Source organism: Homo sapiens, chromosome 13 (assembly GCF_000001405.40).
Source record: "Homo sapiens chromosome 13, GRCh38.p14 Primary Assembly".
NCBI classification, from domain to species: domain Eukaryota; kingdom Metazoa; phylum Chordata; class Mammalia; order Primates; family Hominidae; genus Homo; species Homo sapiens.
Genome location: NC_000013.11, coordinates 100,498,909 through 100,517,787, shown reverse-complemented (window position 1 = coordinate 100,517,787; position 18,879 = coordinate 100,498,909). Strand labels below are relative to the sequence as shown.

The window sequence follows — 18,879 nt, the reverse complement described above, 5'->3', positions numbered from 1 at the left end:
AAGCAGTAATTCAAGAGAAAAGGCTGTTTCATCAAAACACAATGGCACAGAATATGAAAGGAAGTTCTGCAAGTACCAAAAAAGACAAATAAAAGCAAGTATACGCCCCACCTGAGCAGCCCCCGCAAACAGAACTTAGGAGGGAGCTGACAGATCCCGAGGTCCTGAGCCTGTTCACTACGCGTGCCCCCCAGGTACTCTGAATTTAAAGGAATGCATAAAATATAGGCCCCGTTGCTCTGCCGTAACATATTTTTAACAGTTCTCAAACCATTCTTAATGAGTACACACATTTAATTATTGGTGGGTGTTTTTAATATCTGAGCTACATCAATGAACCAAGGACTGATATCACATTGTTCCCATTTACGAAATGCCTTGCTTTTCTACATTCAATTATTAACCAGGAAATGGAACGTACAAAGGCCAAACCCTTTCGGTATGTGGGAAAGTCAGATCAGGAGCCAGCAGCTGTTAAAGAAACCAGAAGGCTGCGCTGATCTGGCCTTGGGAGCGCCCCGTTTACTGCCTCTGAGCAACCTCCTTGAGGGCCGTGTGAGGGGCCAGGGCTGCAGTCTCACCCTCTTGCCCTCCAGGCTTGAGGCAGGAGTGGTCTCCCTCATCCCTGCCCGCCCTCCCTCCACTCCGGTTTGGATTCAGGTGTTAGAAAAGGATTTAAGGAAAACACTTACTTGAAACACACACACACACACACACACACACACACACACACACACACACGATTTTATAATTAAAGCCACACAATTAGGAGTGGAAAGCTCAGGCTGGCAGTATACAGACTAGATAGATGCCTTCCAGAAAAAAAACTTAAGAAAAATGAAAAAAACAAAACAAAACCCTTATATTGTTTACGAACCTACATATCTAGTCACTAGAAGATTCCACTGACAGCTCTGATAATGTCACGTGCAAGTGAACGATTCTTAATGTCAAGGCCACGAGACTATCCTCTTACGACCCTAACTCTGGAGAAGGAAGATGTCCTCCCCTGAATTTTACACACATTACACACACACACACACACACACACGTAATTTTTCTTATGGCCTCTCCCAAATCCTTAACACGTGGGCATTAGACAGTCTTAAAGAGGGCTTTCTTCCAGGAGTATCAATGCTTTCACAGCAAACAACAATTCACAGCCACGTAGCCTCTTTTATGCCTTTCTGAAAAAGTGGACAGTTCTATTTCTGTATCACCAGGTAAAGCAGCTGTTAAGTCGGTTTTCTAACTTCGCATATTAGTTTCAGGGCTGGTCATTCAAACAACTAAAACTGATCATGTTTTCTTAATATTCACATTTATTGCAAATACTTTTCTAGAAGCCAATGCCAACTACCTGATTTTTTCCTCAATGTTAAGCAGATATTTTATCTGTACTATTGAGAAATCAGGAGGCACTAAAATGTAAGTCCCAGTGACCTGAGATACAAAACGGAATCACCACCTCATCCATGAGAGACAGTCATGTCCGGATGCTATTTTCCTGCACATGAATAAAAATGCAAGTATTTAAGTGTACCTGGAAATCTGGTTGCCTCCTAAATTGTTTTCTTTTCACTTTTGCTGCTCATCAGTAGAGATTTCTATCCATGTTCTAAGAAAATGTGTGCATCCTATCAATTCATCCATGTAAGTTATCTCGAGGAAATAATATAGCTTTGATTTGTGCTTTAATGTCACAAGATCAAGATGAAAAACTTCAAACTGTGATGCTACATTTTATTTACCAAGTAATGGAAGTGCTCTGGTACTGTACAGATTGCAGAATTAACCTTTCCTCAACTCTTCTTCCCAATTAGACATTTGTTCCAGGAATCATGCAAAAAGTTCCTCATCGGAGTATTATTCCCTGGCATGACTTCAATGGATGCTTTGAGCACAGCATACTAGAGAGTAAGCAGCACTTTTAAGGAAAGTACTTCCCAAAACACTGCATTTGCAAAATGATGGAATGCATCTGGCCTTCTTTCTGCTCCACTCCCAGATCATTTGGGAGGGGAAGCGCTGAGGGTCCTGGCACCAACGTAATGCAAACGTGAAACAGGTCGACAACACACGCAATCGATTTTGCTGTTTAGGGGGCGTCGGTTAAGTAAGAACTGCAAAGAGCCGAATCGTGCTGTGCCGTTAGCCGTCGCTTTGGAAGGGGAAGTTGGAGACCAGCATGTCCTGCAGAGAGACACACACAGCCCTTACCGCGTCTCCAGGCTTGACAGAGACGGCCACCACCACTCCGGGCATCGGGGAACGCAGAACACTGCTTGTGTCCTCAGTCACTTTTTCCAGCATAAATTTGTTCAATTCTGCGGCAAGTCTGGTTAAGATATTCACCTTGTACTTAAGGGAAAAACAAAACCAAACCATAAATGAGTTTAAATGAAATTTTCCTCAAAAGTAGCATTCATTCTAAATCAATTTTTAGCTTTTAAATTCAAATTACAGTAAGAGCCTTAAATTCAAATGGTTCTCAATTGCTGCACACATCAAAATATATTTGTTTCTGTCATATATTGAGCTATTTCAGAAAGTTCTTGAAATAAGGGCTATTCCAGTTATTAAAATTAATCATTGATAAGTATCATCCTGTATCTTTAAGAAAAACATCTCAAAACGTTATAAAGAAAACTGAGAATTTTACTTGTATTCCCTTCACCACCTACAAACTTATCCCTATCAAGGAAAATCCCATGAGCTGGGCAGACCCAGGGGATGGAGGAGGTGACATGTGGACAGGCGCCAGTAGATGGCAGCAGATGGCTGTTGCAGCTTCCCACAGCCCTCCAAGAGCGGCTGCACTACGTATCAGTAAGTTAAGACAATGGGGTTCAGTGTTCATTTTGGGCAAAATAGTATTTAAAATTCCATTTTTTCAGTGACAGAAAATGTTATATTCATGACTGAAAACGTTGGCTTTTCTTAAAGGCACTATGTAGTCTTTCTGATGTAACAAGATGGTTAGGAAAAGATGCAAGATAATGAGAAAGCCTTCTGCACTGAGAGACAATAACATCAAGATGTTATAAACACTGATGGAAAATACGCACAGACAAGTATATTCATGGCACCTTCTGTAGGTGGCTCTCAAACAATCGGGCATATTTAGGGCAGTTCAGTGAAGCAGAACATTTCAAAAAAGAGAATTCCTATCCTCTCCGTGAATAAATCTATGAGCCACAATTTGGTCTATCCAAACAGAAAAAAGATAAAATGGTTTGAGGAAGTGTCTCTTGGTGAAATTGGAACCACCACCCGAAGGTTCTGGATCCCTACCAGGTCTGATTTCTCTTGGGTAAGAAAGAAGCAGCAGTGAGACAGCTCCATTTCATTCAAAAAACCTGCTGTAACTCAAAGCCTCCTGTGGGCATCATGATGGCAGGGATGCAAAAACAAAATATAATTCCCCCTTTAATTCTGCATGGGGACGGCGGGAATCTCTAAGTGCCTCTTCACAGGGCCTACTGAAAAGGGTGGGGGCAGAGCTTTGATGGCCTAAGTTCCAAGTGGATTTGCGACACTGTGACAGGTTGAATAATAACATCTTTTGCATGTTTCTTTACTCCTGAGTGTGTGTTTTGCAATCAAGACATAGAAGCGTCTGCCAGTTTCTGAAGGATATGTTCCTTAAGTGAAATTACAGTGCAAATAAAAGCTTTTTGCTCCTATTAAAATTCATCTGAGTCATAAGTGGTGAGGGAAAAAGCGAGGAGAGTGCACGCTGCTGTCAGTCTAATAAACATTCTGGGCAGAGGGACTATTTATCAGTGAATTGTACCTCCAAGTCCTTCATTAAATCAATGGGGGAAGGTGTGGAGGGACAGAGAGGACTATAATTGGACCAAATTGCACAGTTTTCCTATCTGTGCTGTCTGCAATGGGGGAAAAAATCCAACATCACTAGAGGCATCAGAGTCAACAAAAAAGTTACTTTTCTAGTTGGTATCGCCCTGAGCTGCGCCTTCTGTGTGACTGACTTACGACGTGCCTTGTTCAGTTTTCAGTGTAGCACACAGATCTATTTTTTTCTTGTTTTGCAGAATTCGACTTCAAAATATGAAGCCTAAATTCAGGAAAAGTATCTTCATTCGCTGAGAATATGATTTACCACATTTCCCCACAGTGGATATACTCCAAAAACTAAGTTTAGTTATATCACAGATCAGCCTGCATATGAACGAAGCGCTAAGACTGTATTTAGCTTCATTTCTCCCCAGAAATTACAAGATTCTGACGAACACTGGATCCTTTTACTATTTTTATAATTTTCATCTTTCAGATTCCTTTCTCTGTAGGACTCCTGCTTTGCTTGGAAAGAGATGTAAAAGAATCACAAACTCAATGCCTTTAGATGCAGTCTTTGTTACTGATGAGATGTTCCTTTTCCTTTTGTATTTGTTTATTGTTCTTAAATCTGTTTGGGGGATAAGTGACTTATTGTAATAGCAAGTAAAAAATAACAACGGGGTAAACTCCTCCAGAGAGGCCTTGGTGCAAATAGTTGGTTTAGAAATGACCTTTCTGAATATAAAAAGAGAAGACAGAGAGAGATTCTCTTTTTAAGATTACCTTTGATGTTGTCCTGAGCCCGTGAGTGTACCACACAAACACGCCTTCTTAAAACAGCCTCTCAGCTGGCCTGTGCTGTGCTGCACGGGGCGCGTGCCGGGATGGGGCCCAAGCAGGGTGCAGCGTAGGGGCCCATCAGAATGAACTGCCTGGTGAGAACCGTAAAAGCTTTTTGATGCCCCAGAAAAGAAGTCATTTAAGAATGTACACCAGGGCCTTCCAAGCTTCTGATCAAAACTGCTATTTACTAGCATCTCTGGATTCTTTGGGGGCACAGAGAGCCAATGCTTTGTGAGACTTCAGGAATGTGCCCCTACCTGGACCGTGGGGTACAAGCTCGGTTTCACCGTGGGCATTTAACTATTCCTCAAGGGTTGTGCGAAACTCCCTTAGAGAGTTTTGATTTTAAGTTTTTGTGGTTGTTTTCAAGAAGATAAATCACAAAGTTGATGTTTGAGGGTAGGAATCCAAGACTCTGAAGGCTTGTGGACAGGACAGAGTAGTAGGATCCCAGAAGCAGCCAGGTTTTCCCGCTGCCTGGGTAGGATGAGGGAACATGCCAGCGTGGGTGACAGGCAGCTGCCTGTGGGTGGGGCTGGGCTGCCATGGAGCCGGAAGATGACTCGCTCCAGTGAGCTCGGGGCTGGTCAGTGCGTGGAACTTCACTCCGCTGGCTTAGGAAGGTGTTCTCCAGACCACACAGCCAAATGAAAAAAAATGTTCTTGAAAAACAGCTCACCACGTAAGTGAGAACAGAACAGTTGCTCTCTGGCTTGGCCTGGTGGGACTCCTCAACCCACACACGACAGTAATGGGAGGGAATGAGGTGTTATCTAAGGACTGAATGACGGAAAGGTGACCCGAACCCGGGTCTCTAAGCAAATTAATTTTATGGCCTCTACAGTGTGAAATCATGTCTAACAAGAAAATTTCTCCCAAAAGATTAAAAGAAAGAAAGAAAAGGAATCACAGCTGACATGAAAGGGTCAGGAGGAAGGCCACAAGAGCAGGACAATGACAAGAAACACCAGTGGGATTGTTTTTAAAACTGACACGCAGCTCTTCCGTGGACCTATTGAAAGCCTGGGGGCTGAGAGTGGTTGCTGCAGCAGGAGGCGGCGGCTAGTCACAGTCTGGGTGAGAGAGGGATGTTATCACTGGACCTCATTAAGAAAAGCATCCTGCAACTGGGCATGTATGCCTGCACCCCAGAAATCAGCACCCCAAAGACAGCAAAGAATGACCCACTTTGAGACACACTCCACTTTCACGGATACACAGAATACCACCCTGGAGGCTTCTGTATTTGTACAGTACATGCACCTCCTTACAGCATTAAATCCACCCACTTTTTTCCACAGCCTGTAGAAGTAGCAGTAATGTAATTCTGCAGACCCCATGCGCTAAATGTTGCAATGATCCCGAGGTCTGCGGCTGCTCCCGAGGTGAGCGCTTGCAGTTTGCTGTACAGTTTTCAGCTGTGATTTCAAAGCCTCCAGTGCCACTGTCAACCTCCGTTCCTCTTCAAGTGGGCTCACTTCCAGTTTCCATTTATAAGTCATTCTTCCAGTAACAATTAGGACACGTACAGTTGACTGACTGTTAATGTTCTTTCATGTCCTCAACTGTTGGCCATCTCAGTCAATACCAACTCAAGGGCAGGTGCTATCTTTGACTGTAAATCACTGTGCATCAGCTATCTTGAAGCACTGGCCAAATACTGTCCATGCACCCCTCACTAAGTAAGGAGGCAGACACTTCTTCAAAGATTAGGCTCTCTTCCTAGTCAAGGTTTTACACCTTCTGGCCCCAAAGGTCTCCAACATTAAGCTCTGTCTTCATTTCCGCAGCGTGGCAGTGAGAGCAACACTCAAATATTCCCCTAAAGGTCTACTGTCCTAACTCAGAGCTGGAGAAACAGTGTCAGTGTTTTTAAAGTGATGGAAAGCGCGAAATGCAAAAATGATGCATCTTTAAAAACACTGGCGTGGCTGAAAAGCAGAGAAAAACTAGATATGAGTTAAAACAGTTCAGTGGAATGAGACTTGAAATTCAACCACGTTCTACTCTCCTAAATTCTTTGTAGGGTACACAATTATCACTTGAGGAAAAGCAGAGCAAGGTTAGGAGCCATACAAAATAATTTCCCTCTACTTCTGCACAGGGCCCAATCGCCTGATATCTGAGCTACACCACCACCACCACAAATCTCCAAGACACAACAGTGACAATACACAGAATTGAAGCCTACGGCCGTCCTTCCTTTGGAGGTGCAGCCCAGGCAAAGGAGCGGACATGGACAGGCAGCAGCTAAGGCGCAGGGCGAACCACAGCCTCCTACAGCTGCAGTCGCTGGAGCAGCCTGTTAGCATAATGCTGTGACAACTCCATCAGTGCAGTCTCAAGGTAGCTGTCAATCAGGATGCATCATTTAATCCAACAGCACTCGGAGGACTTTCTCCTACAACCCACATGACAGCATATCTACAGCTCTATTTATATCAGCGCCCAGTTGTGTTTACAATATTGTTGTAATTAGAAAAGATGCAACAGGCAGCAATATTATTGAGATTTCCATTTTGTAGTATTGCCCTGTAAAGTGTGATCTTGCTTCACAGAGTCATGCTAAATGACAAAAGGCTATTTTCTTCAATCTCCCAGCTCAGACAGCACTTCATTTGCAGCTATCTATAATTAGATTAATGGTGTAGTGCGGTACAAAGCAGGCCCACTTCACATCAGATAGCATATGAATTAGGACAAACACTTATTTCAATTCCAGGCAGAGAAAGCAATGACTGGGGTATTTAGCATACCCTTTATGGTGGAATGAGATGTTAATTGTGTACCATTACCTCTAAACTGCTTGCTTGTTGTATAAATCACTGTGCTAATTGATGCAGAGATAGAAATGTAGCCACAGGCGAGAAAGCAAAGGAATGAGAGCTGAAGATGGTGGATAAAGGATTATCGAGTAAAACCATATGGAGATGAGGTTCCTTTGAAACCTTTGCTTTCTGCCCATGAGCAGGATTTCTTCATATACAGCAAAACTCTGATACAAGAAAAATTAATTTTACATTCCTTTTTAAAAACACAAATTCCTTGTAGAAGTTCCGGCTGCCAGAAATCCAAATAATAGGTATGTGGAATTCATCTTAATATACATTTATAAAAACATGGAATGTGTAGTTTTCAATAGTCAGAGCTCCTCATCTGGGTTTTCGGCTCATGGGTTAATAAATAACGCTTGTAAACTATACCTGAAGCAGATGTTTCTGACCCATCCACAGGGCAAAAACAAATTCTTTCCCAAGGCTTGAAGTTGTTCTTTTAGACAAAAACAAAACAAAACAAAACAAAACAAAACAAAAAAAACACAAAACAAAAAACCCACACCACCACTATGCTGGCTTAGTCTGTTATAGACTCTAATTGTGTAGAAACATTTATTCAGGATGTGAATCCAACAGAACAGAATCATTTTCATCTACCATTAAAACAACGATTTTAACACCATCACCCAAACACTGAAATCTGACTATTCCAACTTGAGATATTCTTCCTTGTTTTTCTAAAACTAGCAAAAAATAAAAAATAAACAGAAGCAAGTAGTAATTTAAAAGCTTCCGTTTTAAAATCTCTGAATGTTACTCTTCCCTTTTAAAATGTCTTGTTCTGCACTCAACAACTCTTAATAGGGTAAAAACGAGTGTCTCAAAAGCGCACATATAGAAATCAAATGTTACGTCCCACAAGTCAAACCGTCCGTGATCCACAGATAAACGTGCCCCTGGAAGTTCATCATCAAGTACATGTGTCCTGAGTACATGCTCACGTTTTCTCACTAGCAAGGCAACACTGAGGCGCAGATTAGTGCTGTGGACCTTCTCACAAATTCAGCTGCTTAGTAATTAGCACTGTTACAACATTTTACGCAGAGAACAAACGCATAGGGTCAGTTAGCAGCTCCAGTTCTCAGCGTCACGGTAACAGTTAACATATCCGTCTACTGGCAAGTGCACATTTGAGAAACACTGTATCTTTCAGCGTTGTGAAATATGAACACCACACTAACTTGCAAGAAAATAAAACAATGTTTCAAGAAACTAGCAAGTCTAGTTCAAGTTACCAGGACTGAAACTTGGGAGGGGAAAGTCCAGAGCTGCTTTTTTGGGGGCCACAGCTGTCACCTTTCACTGTACAGAGTGGCCCTTATTATACGTCTGACTGCTGAACTAAGGACACCTGGATCGCAACTGCAAGCGTTTACGGTTTAGGTTATTATGCTAAATAATATTAAAAACAAACAAAATCCACAAAGAAACATCAAGGACTCTCAGGATGGAAACCAACGTCAGCACAATAAATAGCCTGAACCCCCCACCCCAAGCATTAAGGCAACACAAATAGAAAGGAGAAAAGATGTGGAGACAGTGTAAAGCCCTGCCTCCTGGGCATTAATCACTTGTTTAGACCTTTTTACACTAGAGCCTTACAGCCTGCAGCCAAAACCAACACGCCTCAGTGAAGCTGGTGTTAACAGAAGAAAATATATGGTTTCTGACATTGCATCCCAGTTCCTCAACATTTGCTCCAACTGAAAAAGGCAGTTAAACACAAAGTAAATCATCCAGTTAGCCTGGCTGTTTAGTGACACACAATTGATAATGTCAATACATTGCAGCGACATAATGCGTCACTTTCAACACTCGTCCGCTGCCATTTATGAATCAATCTGTACTCAAGGTTTTGTTGTGTTACTGGTAGGTGGTTCTTGGAGTTAAGTCGTTTACTGGACCAATGAATGTGCCACAAGGAGGCTCAACGGCAGTGAGCAGCAATCTCATTTTTCGAGGGAAAAATTAACACAAATAGGAGTGGGAAGAAAATCCCAACAAAACAGAAGAATAAGAATATCTGAAGCCCATTCAGCAACTCATTTTTCAAACATCCTGCAAAAATGGGGAGGGTTTCCTTAGAGAAAAGAACCATCTTAAGGCTAATCATCAACAGCATTGAAGGAATGGGTAAGACTGTGTGTATCTCGGGCTTGCTTCCGAAAGATGATCTCTCCTCTGGAGGGAAGAATATGGGGTTGTCAATAATACAAAAATCTAGCCTCATCCTTTGTTCTGTCTTGTTTTTGTAACTGGAAACACAAGGCTCATTCCAGTTATACTGTCCTAAGATGAGCAACTTAAAAAAAAATAGTGCCAAAAATTAAATTGAAAATTAAACACTAGGCTGGGTGCGGTGGCTCACACCTATAATCCCAGCACTTTGGGAGGCCAAGGCTGGAGGATCATGAGGTCAGGAGTTCAAGAACAGCCTGGCCTACATAGTGAAACCCCGTCTCTACTAAAAATCCAAAAAATTAGCCAGGCGTGGTGGTGGGCGCTTGTAATCCTAGCTGCTCGGGAGGCTGAGGCAGAAGAATCGCTTGAACCTGGGAGGTGGAGGTTGCAGGGAGCCGAGATCGCGCCACTGCACTCCAGCCCAGGCCACAGTGCGAGACTCTGTCTCAAGAAAAAGAAAAGAAAAGAAAGAAAATTAAACACTAGACCCAGCACTCAATAACAGAGAGGATTTATTTCTTCCCTTGTGTTGCACTGAGGTTACCTTGTAATCTGAATCACTTGTATCATAAGAGAGGCCTAAAACTGATGTGGCGGGAAAAGAGCTAGCGTCTAGGAAGCTGCCCCATTCCTAGTCTTCTAAGAATTCCGAGGTGGTCTCTGATGGGCAGGAGGGCACTGAGAAGTCCTCAGTGGGTTTCCCAAGGAGCAAGTCTGTTAATGACAGCAGCCTACCTGGAGTGTGGCGCCATAGTGCCATGTGTGCAGGTGTGCCCATGATAAAGGGGGCCCAGCCTCTGCCTGGCCCAAGTGCCCCCAAGCTGTCTAACAAGTAGGTGCATATGCCACAAAGGCAATTTGCTGGAATAAGTGGCACTTTCACTTCCACAAAGGCAAGTCCATTTACAATGAACTGTACAGAATGCACAAAATAGAACATGTGCATTCTGTTTGATCAGGAGTCTCTGTGACACATTACGACTATAATGAGTCATTTTTTTCTTTTTACTCAAGAAAAATATTATAGATCTTTGAAAGCCATGTACTCAATTATATAACAATACCAACACCTGTTAACAGTACAGGCTGTTTCTATTCTGTATCTCGAATTGTTTTATGTAATTACGAATTTATAAGGTATTTGGTAAACCGGTAAGAAAGTACCTTTTTAAAGCACTGTATAATTTGGGGTACAATGAAGTGTTCTCTTAAAAATCTATAATTAGGGCAGCATCAGCTTACAGAAAAGTAAAGGAAATGTTATAAAAACACAATTATGTAGATAAGCACCGCGGTGAGGAAGTGTACCATTTCACGACGGTGCCCAACCCTCTTCCTTTTTCTCCTCCTATCTGAAATGCTCTTTGCTCATATCAAGTTGAAGTCATGCTGTCAGAATGAATGACCTTTGGGGAAAAAAGATGGGGAGCTCTGACTTCCCATGTAAGTCCTCAGTCCCCCCCAGGTTGGAGCACCTGGGAAGTGTTCTAATGTGAGGGGCTTCAACAACAATCTTGCCTTTACAGGTTTTCTTAAATATTTTTACTATTATGAATTCACTGAAGAAACTCAAAATTCAAAATGCCTAAATGCTGGCTTTATGGGACAGAAATTCAGAAACTAAAATACAGAAAGGCAGAGTAAACGAAAGTAAAGATGACTGTGATACTGTGAGGTAGACCGTCGGCCAAGAAAACTGAAGCAGAAAGCAACTGAAACCCCCGCCGCCCCCGCCCCCACCCCCGCCCGCGAAGGTTTCTGGTCTGAAGTAGCAGAAATGAGCGCTGGTAGGGGGGTTGCCTAAGAATCTTGGGGTTTACAGTTCTGACACATCCTAGACGCTGAGCCAAGGAGGACTGCTGGCACCCTCATGCTGTGCTGTGTACAGAACACACGATGCTGAAGGTGGCCAAGTCCTGGAGAGCCATGGGAGAAATCGGGAGACAGGGCGATGTGGCCCCCGTCCTGGCAGCAGCAGAGCATGAAAGCCCAAGTCTCTGAAGCCAACAGGCCCGACTGTGACATCCCAACGAGATGGCACCTTCTGACCAAGTTACCTCCTTCTCAGACAGATGTCAACTCTAAAATCAAGCTAATACAGGTCTTGAGTAACTGTTTTGAGGATTAAATTTACGAAGATCTGCAGCGCACCTAGCAAGTGCTCGAGAGTAACTATTCACCAGGTATTATTTCCTGTGTCCTTTCCAAACATCTCTGGTTGTTCAGAATGAAAGAGTGGTGGATTTTTTTGGGGGGGATGGGGGAGGGTGGGCAGAGAAACAGGGTACCACTCTGGCACCCAGGCATGGCTCACTGCAGCCTCGACCTCCTGGGCACAAGTGATCCTCCCACGTCAGACTCCCAAGTACCTGGGACTACAGGCAGACGCCACCATGCCTGCTTAGTGTTTGAGTATGTTTTGTAGAGATGGGGTTTTGCCACATTGCCCAGGCTGGTCTTGAACTCCTGGGCTCAAGGGATCCGCCCGCCCCAGGTTCCCAGAGTGCTGGGATTACAGGCATGAGTCACTGCACCAGACTGACACTGGTGGATTTTATTTTAAAATCATGTATTGTAGGACATCTCAGATTAACTTCTAATTGTTGGAGTTCTAGCTCTATGCTCTCCATGTTTGAGAGCAAATAGATTACATTCTTCAAACATCACATCTGGCTCTAAAATCAAAGAAAGGAAGTTGATTCCGTGTTCAGAGAGGTTCCCAGGCATGCAGCGAGGGACCCCACGGTTGTCTTTTCCTTAGACAGTTAAAAGCATAGTGAATTAGAGAAACAGTTTGGTTAATTCATTCAAAAACCATTTATCGAGCATATCTGGGCAATGTAAGAATACAAAATAAACAAGAAAAAATGGCTCCTGACCTAAATACCATAATCTGGCCAGAGGGAAAAGACATTCATGAATGACACAATATAAACGTATTCAAGGATTACTAAGAATGTGATCAATATGAGGTGGGCTTTTTTATTTTAGCCCCTCTCTTACAGAAAATCTCCAGGCTGCGAGGCAGCAGAGAGTAGTGGTTTACCATTTAGGATCTGGAGTCAGAATACTGTTCCACTTACAAGCTTGGGAAAGGTCGACTTTCCATGTCTCAGATTCCTTCTTTATGAACTGTGGATCATAACAGTGCCTGCTTCTGTGGAAAGTAAGTGAATTCTTTTTTTTTTGAGACAGAGTCTCTCTCTGTGTCACCCAGGCTGGAGTGCAGTGGCATGATCTTGGCTCACTGCAGCCTCCGCCTCCCAGGTTCAAGTGATTCTCCTGCCTCAGCCTCCCGAGTAGTTGGGACTACAGGCACGTTCCACCACACCCAGCTATTTTGTATTTTTAGTAGAGATGGGGTTTCACCATGTTAGCCAGGGTGATCTCAATCTCTTGACCTCTTGATCTGCCCACCTCAGCCTCCCAAAGTGCTGGGATTACAGGTGTGAGCCACGGTGCCCGGCCAGTAAGTGAATTCTTGTATGAAGAAGCCTCAGAACACAGAAATGTCATTAAGTATTTAATAGCCATCATTACCACTAATTGCTGTCATTAAAACATGTCCACAGATGGACAGAAATCTTGGGCACAGTCACTGAGAAGACACTGGAGGCTGTCTGGGTGGGTCTCGAATTCAACACACAGGGATCTAAATCGCTCTCACGCCCGCGTACACGCTCTCAGATGCACAACAGCCATGCACCTCAACTCTTCACGCTGACTCTCTCCACTGGAAGTGTCCTCTGATCATATTCTTAGCCTAAAAATTTGGCCTTCTATTCAATTCTCATATGAACATTCTCCCGACTTGGAACGTTGTCCTATCTATGTGGATCTGACTATAATCTTTCCCCAGACTTTAAGACTATGTTGCTAATTTCTCATGGCAGAAGAATTCATATTTGAGGAACCTGAGATTTTATAAGAAAATGAGAATCAGGGGACTGAGCAAGTGAAATTTGACAGCTCTTATAAAACAATGTATTTTATGGAGTTAAAAATAGTTATAGGCTTATTGTAACAAGTCCAATGGTAAAGAGGTGTGTAAAACAATTTACTAATCCACCCTCTCACATCTAATCCCACTCCCCTTCGGTAATGTCAATTTTTATTGTATATCTTTTACTCACATGAATCTATCAAAATATAAACATATATGTATACTACAAATACATTTAGCCTGGGTAAAATGAAACACTGAAGACTGCTTATTATTGAGGATCTCACTCTGTCACTCAGGCTGGAGTGCAGTAGTGTGATCACAGCTCACTGCAGCCTCAACCTCCTCAGCCCATGTGATCCTCCCACCTCAGTCTCCCAAGTAGCTGAGACCATAGGCACATGCCACCATGCCCGGCTAATTTTTTTTTAAATTTTTTGTAAAGACAGAGTTTTGCCATGTTGCCCAGGCTGGTCTCGAACTACTAGGCTCAAGCGATCCATGCCCCTCAGCCTCCCAAAGTGTTGGGATTACAGGCATAAGCCACTGTGCCCAGCCCACAGCTCATTTAAAGAGGGAGAGATTTATGATCTTTGGCCATTCAACATCCTTGACTCACTGTAGACTTTTAAACACAAGATGTTTAATACAGAAAAAACTTTATTTTATTATAATTTCTTTTTTGGGGGGGGATGGAGTTTCGCTCTTGTTGCCCAGGCTGGAGTGCAATGGCGCAACCTCGGCTCACCACAACCTCCACCTCCTGGGTTCAAGTGATTCTCCTGCCTCAGCCTCCCGAGTAGCTGGGATTACAGGCACGCGCCACCACACCCAACTAATTTTGTATTTTTAGTAGAGACAGGGTTTCTCCATGTTGGTCAGGCTGGTCTTGAACTCCCGACCTCAGGTGATCCACCCACCTCGGCCTCCCAAAGTGTTGGGATTACAGGCGTGAGCCACTGCGCCCGGCCAGAAAGAACTTCAGGTAAATTATTTTTCCTCGTACCTGCTTAGCTAGCTTATCTTAAGCATGGCTGTGCTGAGCCTCTGTCAACAGGCAGCCTCTGCCCAGGACAACTCCAGACAACTCCCACTGGACAACTCCAGTGGGAGAGTATCCTCCACTGGCCCTGCCAGTCTCTCTTACCCACGATCCAGCCTCCCCTCCTCCCCAGGAATCAGAAGGTCCAGCTGTAAATACAGCTTTAACGCCCTAGGTCTGCGTCAGCCTCAGCTTCCACAACCTTTCCCAACGCTGCACTGAAAATTCCTGTCCTCTGCCGTCTGCTCTGCCTCCCTCTTCTTTTCTCAACTTTGTTTCCTCTTTTTCTAATTAACCCCAACAGCGTGACTTGTTATCTGCATGTAACAGACAACTCTGCCTGGCTGCAGTGACTCCACTAGGATTTTCCCTAAATCCCTGTCCTTTACTCCTAAGAGTCTGTCTCATATCCTACCATTCACACCAATCAACAGAAAGCTCTCTTAACTTTGTAAATTGTAACCACTCAGTCATTTTCAAGTCTAGAGGGCCAGAAATGCCAAAAGTAACTGCCAAAAGCTTTAGTCACAGAAGTTAAGGTCGATTCCCTGTGGTCTAATTTGTAAATGATAGCTGTCTAATCAAAAATGAGAAAGGCCTACCTAACCCTCTTACCACTGCAATTCAATAATGCTACACAGTAACTCATGAAATAAGACTAGGAGACATTTCCCTTGCATCTGTATAATCCAGAAACCAGGAATACTGAGTACCAGCCATTCTGTGCCGCTCTGCTCTCCTCTTGGTTAAAAATATACAGTACACACAGCCAGGGTGAGGTGGGATGAGAGGGTGCCCGTTCAGCAGGGACATCTACCCTGGCCTCTACCTTAGTGAAATCTGCCTGGATCAGGGGGCTGGGCCTCTGTTTCACAGGCTTAGAAGCTAGACTTCCACTATACACTCATAATGCATCACTCTGAACGAGATGGATTCACTTTTATCAAGCTCACAAGATACTGATGTGTAAAACATCTTAGGAATTTACAATCAGAAATAGGTTTGTAAAGGGAACTCACACACCTCCTAACTGTAGTGTGAGCACTAAATTATAGTCAGTGGTTCTTTGATAAATACAGAATCAGCAGAAGAGGCACTGGCTGAAGTGCTCTCCACCAAGACAGCATAAGCAGCAGTTCTCAATCACCAAAGCATCAAAACTTGCCTGGAGGGCTAGTAAAACCACAGACCGCTAGGCCCCCCACCTGAGTTTCCAATTCAGGTTTGGGTGCATTTTATTTATTTATTTATTTATTTATTTATTGAGAAGGAGTGTCCCTCTGTTGCCCAGGCTGGAGTGCAGCGGCACGATCTCAGCTCAGCCCAACCTCCGCCACCCGGGTTCAAGTGATTTTCCTGCCTCAGCCTCCCAAGTAGCTGGGATTACAGGTATGCGCCACCATGCCCGGCTAATTTTTTTGTATTTTTAGTAGAGACGGGGTTTCACTATGTTGGCCAGGCTGGCCTCAAACTCCTGACCTCGTGAGCCACCCGCCTCGGCCTCCCAAAGTGCTGGGATTACAGGCGTGAGCTGCCACACTGGGCCTGGGGTCTGCATTTCTAGTGAGTTCCCAGGAGACGCTGAAGCTGCTGGTCTGAGGACCACACTGTGGGTGAACAGAAGGCCTTCTCCATTATGGAATGGCCTTTCCCAGGGAATTTAGCTCATGTCCATGAGAAGGCTTTCTTCTCCTAGACTCAGCTGACAATGCGCTGCTGGAGAAGGCTTTTCTGATAGTAGACAATGGAGACTCAGAAGGGTGACGGGGTGGGAGGAGGGTGGATGATGAGAAATTACTTAATGGGTACCATGTACATTAGTCAGGTGATGAATATCTAAAAGCCTTGACTTCCTCTCTATTCAATCTATGCATGTCACAAATTTACACTTGTACCTCGTAAGTTTACATAGATAAAATAATTTCAAAAAGTATGTATGACTCTTGTTCTAGGTAGAAAAATCTCTGAGTGACACATTTTTTCTTTTTTTTAAGAGTCTCACTCTGTTGCTCAGGTTGGAATGCAGTGGCATGATCTTGGCGATCTTGGCTCACTGCAACCTCCGCCTCCCAGGTTCAAGCAATTGTCCTGCCTCAGCCTCCCGAGTAGCTGGGACTACAGGCACCCACCACCACACCCGGCTAATTTTTGTATTTTTAGTAGAAACGGGGTTTCACCATATTGGCCAGGCTGGTCTCAAACTCGTGACCTTGTGATCTACCCGCCTCGGCCTCCCAAAGTGCTGGGATTACAGGCGTGAGCCACTGCGCCCAGCTAAAGAAACATCTTTAAAGTATCTTTTGCATAAATTCAGTCTTGCTTATTTGATGTCTCAAGATTTGGGGAGTGTTTTGGTGTCTACAGTTACTACCCCATTAATTTTTCTCTGGCCTCAATGTTGCTGTCCCTAAATTGGATCAAATATATTCTTAGAAGGGTGAGATTAGGAAAGGAACTCGTTAATATAGACTGAAGGCCTCTCTAGTCTGTAAGTAACCTTAATATTCTGAGACTGGAGAATACCACCGTGCTCACTATCTTCTGGGAGAGAGGTTCTCTTTAAATGTTTACAGATTTCAGATGAGCTGAAACCAGCCTTAACTGCTCAATATTTGGGCAACTGGGGACTGTTCGTTTGATCTTTTGGTTTATTAAAAACTATGGGGAAGCTAACAAGTCTTAGAAAATTTAGCAAGGTAACTTTAAATGGAATGCACATGTTATTATTACATGAACTAATTAGTATAAATTCCTTGAAAAGAAACTTTAATATTAAAACATATATAAATATATCCTTAAGGAGAGTTCTGGTCTCAACAAATAATAACAAAATATAAGCGCCAGACCACCACTGCCCTTGGTCTGGTGTCTGCAAGAGGAAATGACACACTGAAGAGCTGGACTTTCATTTGACTTTCAACCGTACTACAATCTTACTAGAATGTGGAGAGCCTGGTGATTCCATCCATTTTAACACTGATCGCCTCAATCTGAAGACAGTCTCAGGGGAAAATGGACTGAGCCACAATTGTTTAGCTTTTTTCCTGGGTGGTAAGTAAGATTCCATTCTTGCCCAATTTCTTACTTCAATTAGATTCAGAGGTAGAATAGTCTAAAGATAGATTCCAAATACTATCTCTCTCATCTTTAAAAAAAGAAAAAATGAATCTGTTATTCCTTTTCCCCAAACGACAGAAGCATGATTTCATTGTATTTTCCTTCAAAACTGTGGCCAATAAAATGCTAGCACCTCCAAAAAAAGTCTCAAGCAACCTGTGAATTAGAAACACAAGAAATATTTTTTCCTTTGCTTCTCCTATGTTATTTTGAAAACTGTGAAAGAAAAAACCTTTTTAAAATGTCAAATATACTTGTCTTGCTTACATTCAGATGTATGCAAAGTTCACTGAGGCGTAGGTCTTATTTTTGTCACTAGACATAATGGGACAGATGTGCTTCTGCAACAGAGGTACGGATGCAGCATGCAGCAGTCTATCCCAGAAGCTCTGTAAACAAACACTCTTTATCCCAAGGAGGCAGGATATGAAAGGCTGGAACCGCCTTAATAAGACACTACTTGTCCCAACATAAAAGTCTGTCTTGAGGCATCCTACTACAGTCTTGCCTATTACTCTGCTGATTAAAGGAGGTTGACTAGAGCCATGTGGGCTAGAAGGAGTGAGGCCTGGACCAGAAGAAAATAATTGCAAAAGTTTCTCTGTCAAACATTAAAAGTCATCAACATCAGAATCACAAATATTTCACTAATCTCTTACATCCTGCAGATGTGCAGATAAGCCATTTCTCTCTGCCCAACACCTGAATGGAACAATGATTATCTTCCGGGATACAAAACTATCTCCTAGTTTCACCAGTTATGTGAGCGCGGATGCTGACAAAGGAGAAGTCTTATTTTTCAAACGTCTTTTGGGAACAGCAAAGGCTATGAATATTTTAGAACTAGTGAGAGAGTGCTATGCTGAGCCACGGAAGCAAACCCCTTGTGTTCCGTGTGTTGACTGCACACGCCCATAGTTTTGTGGCTTGGTGAAAAGCTTTCACTTGTCACAACTCACGGTTTTCCACAATAACGTGAATTGACATCAATGATTTTGCTTGCAATGCGGGTGGAAGTCTTGTCTTCCACTGCCAAGTTCTCAGAACCAGAGAACCAAATCAATGCCTTGTTAAAAGGTTTTGACAAGGTATGGTGGCAGAATACAAAATTT

General features: G+C 43.3%; 1 protein-coding gene across 21 annotated transcripts in view, besides 7 other annotated features; it reads right to left on the bottom strand.

Annotated features, from left to right (window-relative positions):
• Positions 1-18,879, bottom strand: part of PCCA (propionyl-CoA carboxylase subunit alpha) — a 441,343-nt gene that overhangs the window by 12,648 nt on the left and 409,816 nt on the right. For 15 of the 21 annotated variants that reach the window (NR_148030.2, NR_148028.2, NR_148031.2 and 12 more), the window contains one exon: positions 2,221-2,361. The exons of 5 other annotated variants lie outside the window; for them this stretch is intronic. Coding sequence is in view for 11 of the 16 variants with exons in the window: in XM_017020609.2 (XP_016876098.1) it covers positions 2,221-2,361 (141 nt within the window). In the remaining 5 variants the exon portion in view is untranslated. Of the gene's footprint in view, positions 1-1,729; positions 2,362-18,879 lie in introns of those variants that run through there. One more of the 21 variants, XM_017020612.2, reaches the window with a different exon arrangement.
• Positions 2-726: an enhancer, noted in NCBI's record as "H3K4me1 hESC enhancer chr13:101169316-101170040 (GRCh37/hg19 assembly coordinates)". NCBI's record gives its function as "activates a minimal SCP1, AML or CMV promoter by ChIP-STARR-seq in primed H9 embryonic stem cells {active_cell/tissue: H9 hESC(primed)}" and the evidence as "EXISTENCE:reporter gene assay evidence [ECO:0000049][PMID:30033119]".
• Positions 259-553: an enhancer, noted in NCBI's record as "tiled region #10114; HepG2 Activating DNase matched - State 5:Enh". NCBI's record gives its function as "activates a minimal TATA promoter and a strong SV40 promoter by Sharpr-MPRA in HepG2 cells {active_cell/tissue: HepG2}" and the evidence as "EXISTENCE:reporter gene assay evidence [ECO:0000049][PMID:27701403]".
• Positions 259-553: a silencer, noted in NCBI's record as "tiled region #10114; K562 Repressive non-DNase unmatched - State 23:Low". NCBI's record gives its function as "represses a minimal TATA promoter and a strong SV40 promoter by Sharpr-MPRA in K562 cells {active_cell/tissue: K562}" and the evidence as "EXISTENCE:reporter gene assay evidence [ECO:0000049][PMID:27701403]".
• Positions 6,644-7,261: an enhancer, noted in NCBI's record as "OCT4-NANOG-H3K27ac-H3K4me1 hESC enhancer chr13:101162781-101163398 (GRCh37/hg19 assembly coordinates)". NCBI's record gives its function as "activates a minimal SCP1, AML or CMV promoter by ChIP-STARR-seq in naive and primed H9 embryonic stem cells {active_cell/tissue: H9 hESC(naive and primed)}" and the evidence as "EXISTENCE:reporter gene assay evidence [ECO:0000049][PMID:30033119]".
• Positions 7,262-7,880: an enhancer, noted in NCBI's record as "OCT4-NANOG-H3K27ac hESC enhancer chr13:101162162-101162780 (GRCh37/hg19 assembly coordinates)". NCBI's record gives its function as "activates a minimal SCP1, AML or CMV promoter by ChIP-STARR-seq in naive and primed H9 embryonic stem cells {active_cell/tissue: H9 hESC(naive and primed)}" and the evidence as "EXISTENCE:reporter gene assay evidence [ECO:0000049][PMID:30033119]".
• Positions 7,881-8,499: an enhancer, noted in NCBI's record as "NANOG-H3K27ac-H3K4me1 hESC enhancer chr13:101161543-101162161 (GRCh37/hg19 assembly coordinates)". NCBI's record gives its function as "activates a minimal SCP1, AML or CMV promoter by ChIP-STARR-seq in primed H9 embryonic stem cells {active_cell/tissue: H9 hESC(primed)}" and the evidence as "EXISTENCE:reporter gene assay evidence [ECO:0000049][PMID:30033119]".
• Positions 14,658-15,295: an enhancer, noted in NCBI's record as "H3K27ac-H3K4me1 hESC enhancer chr13:101154747-101155384 (GRCh37/hg19 assembly coordinates)". NCBI's record gives its function as "activates a minimal SCP1, AML or CMV promoter by ChIP-STARR-seq in naive H9 embryonic stem cells {active_cell/tissue: H9 hESC(naive)}" and the evidence as "EXISTENCE:reporter gene assay evidence [ECO:0000049][PMID:30033119]".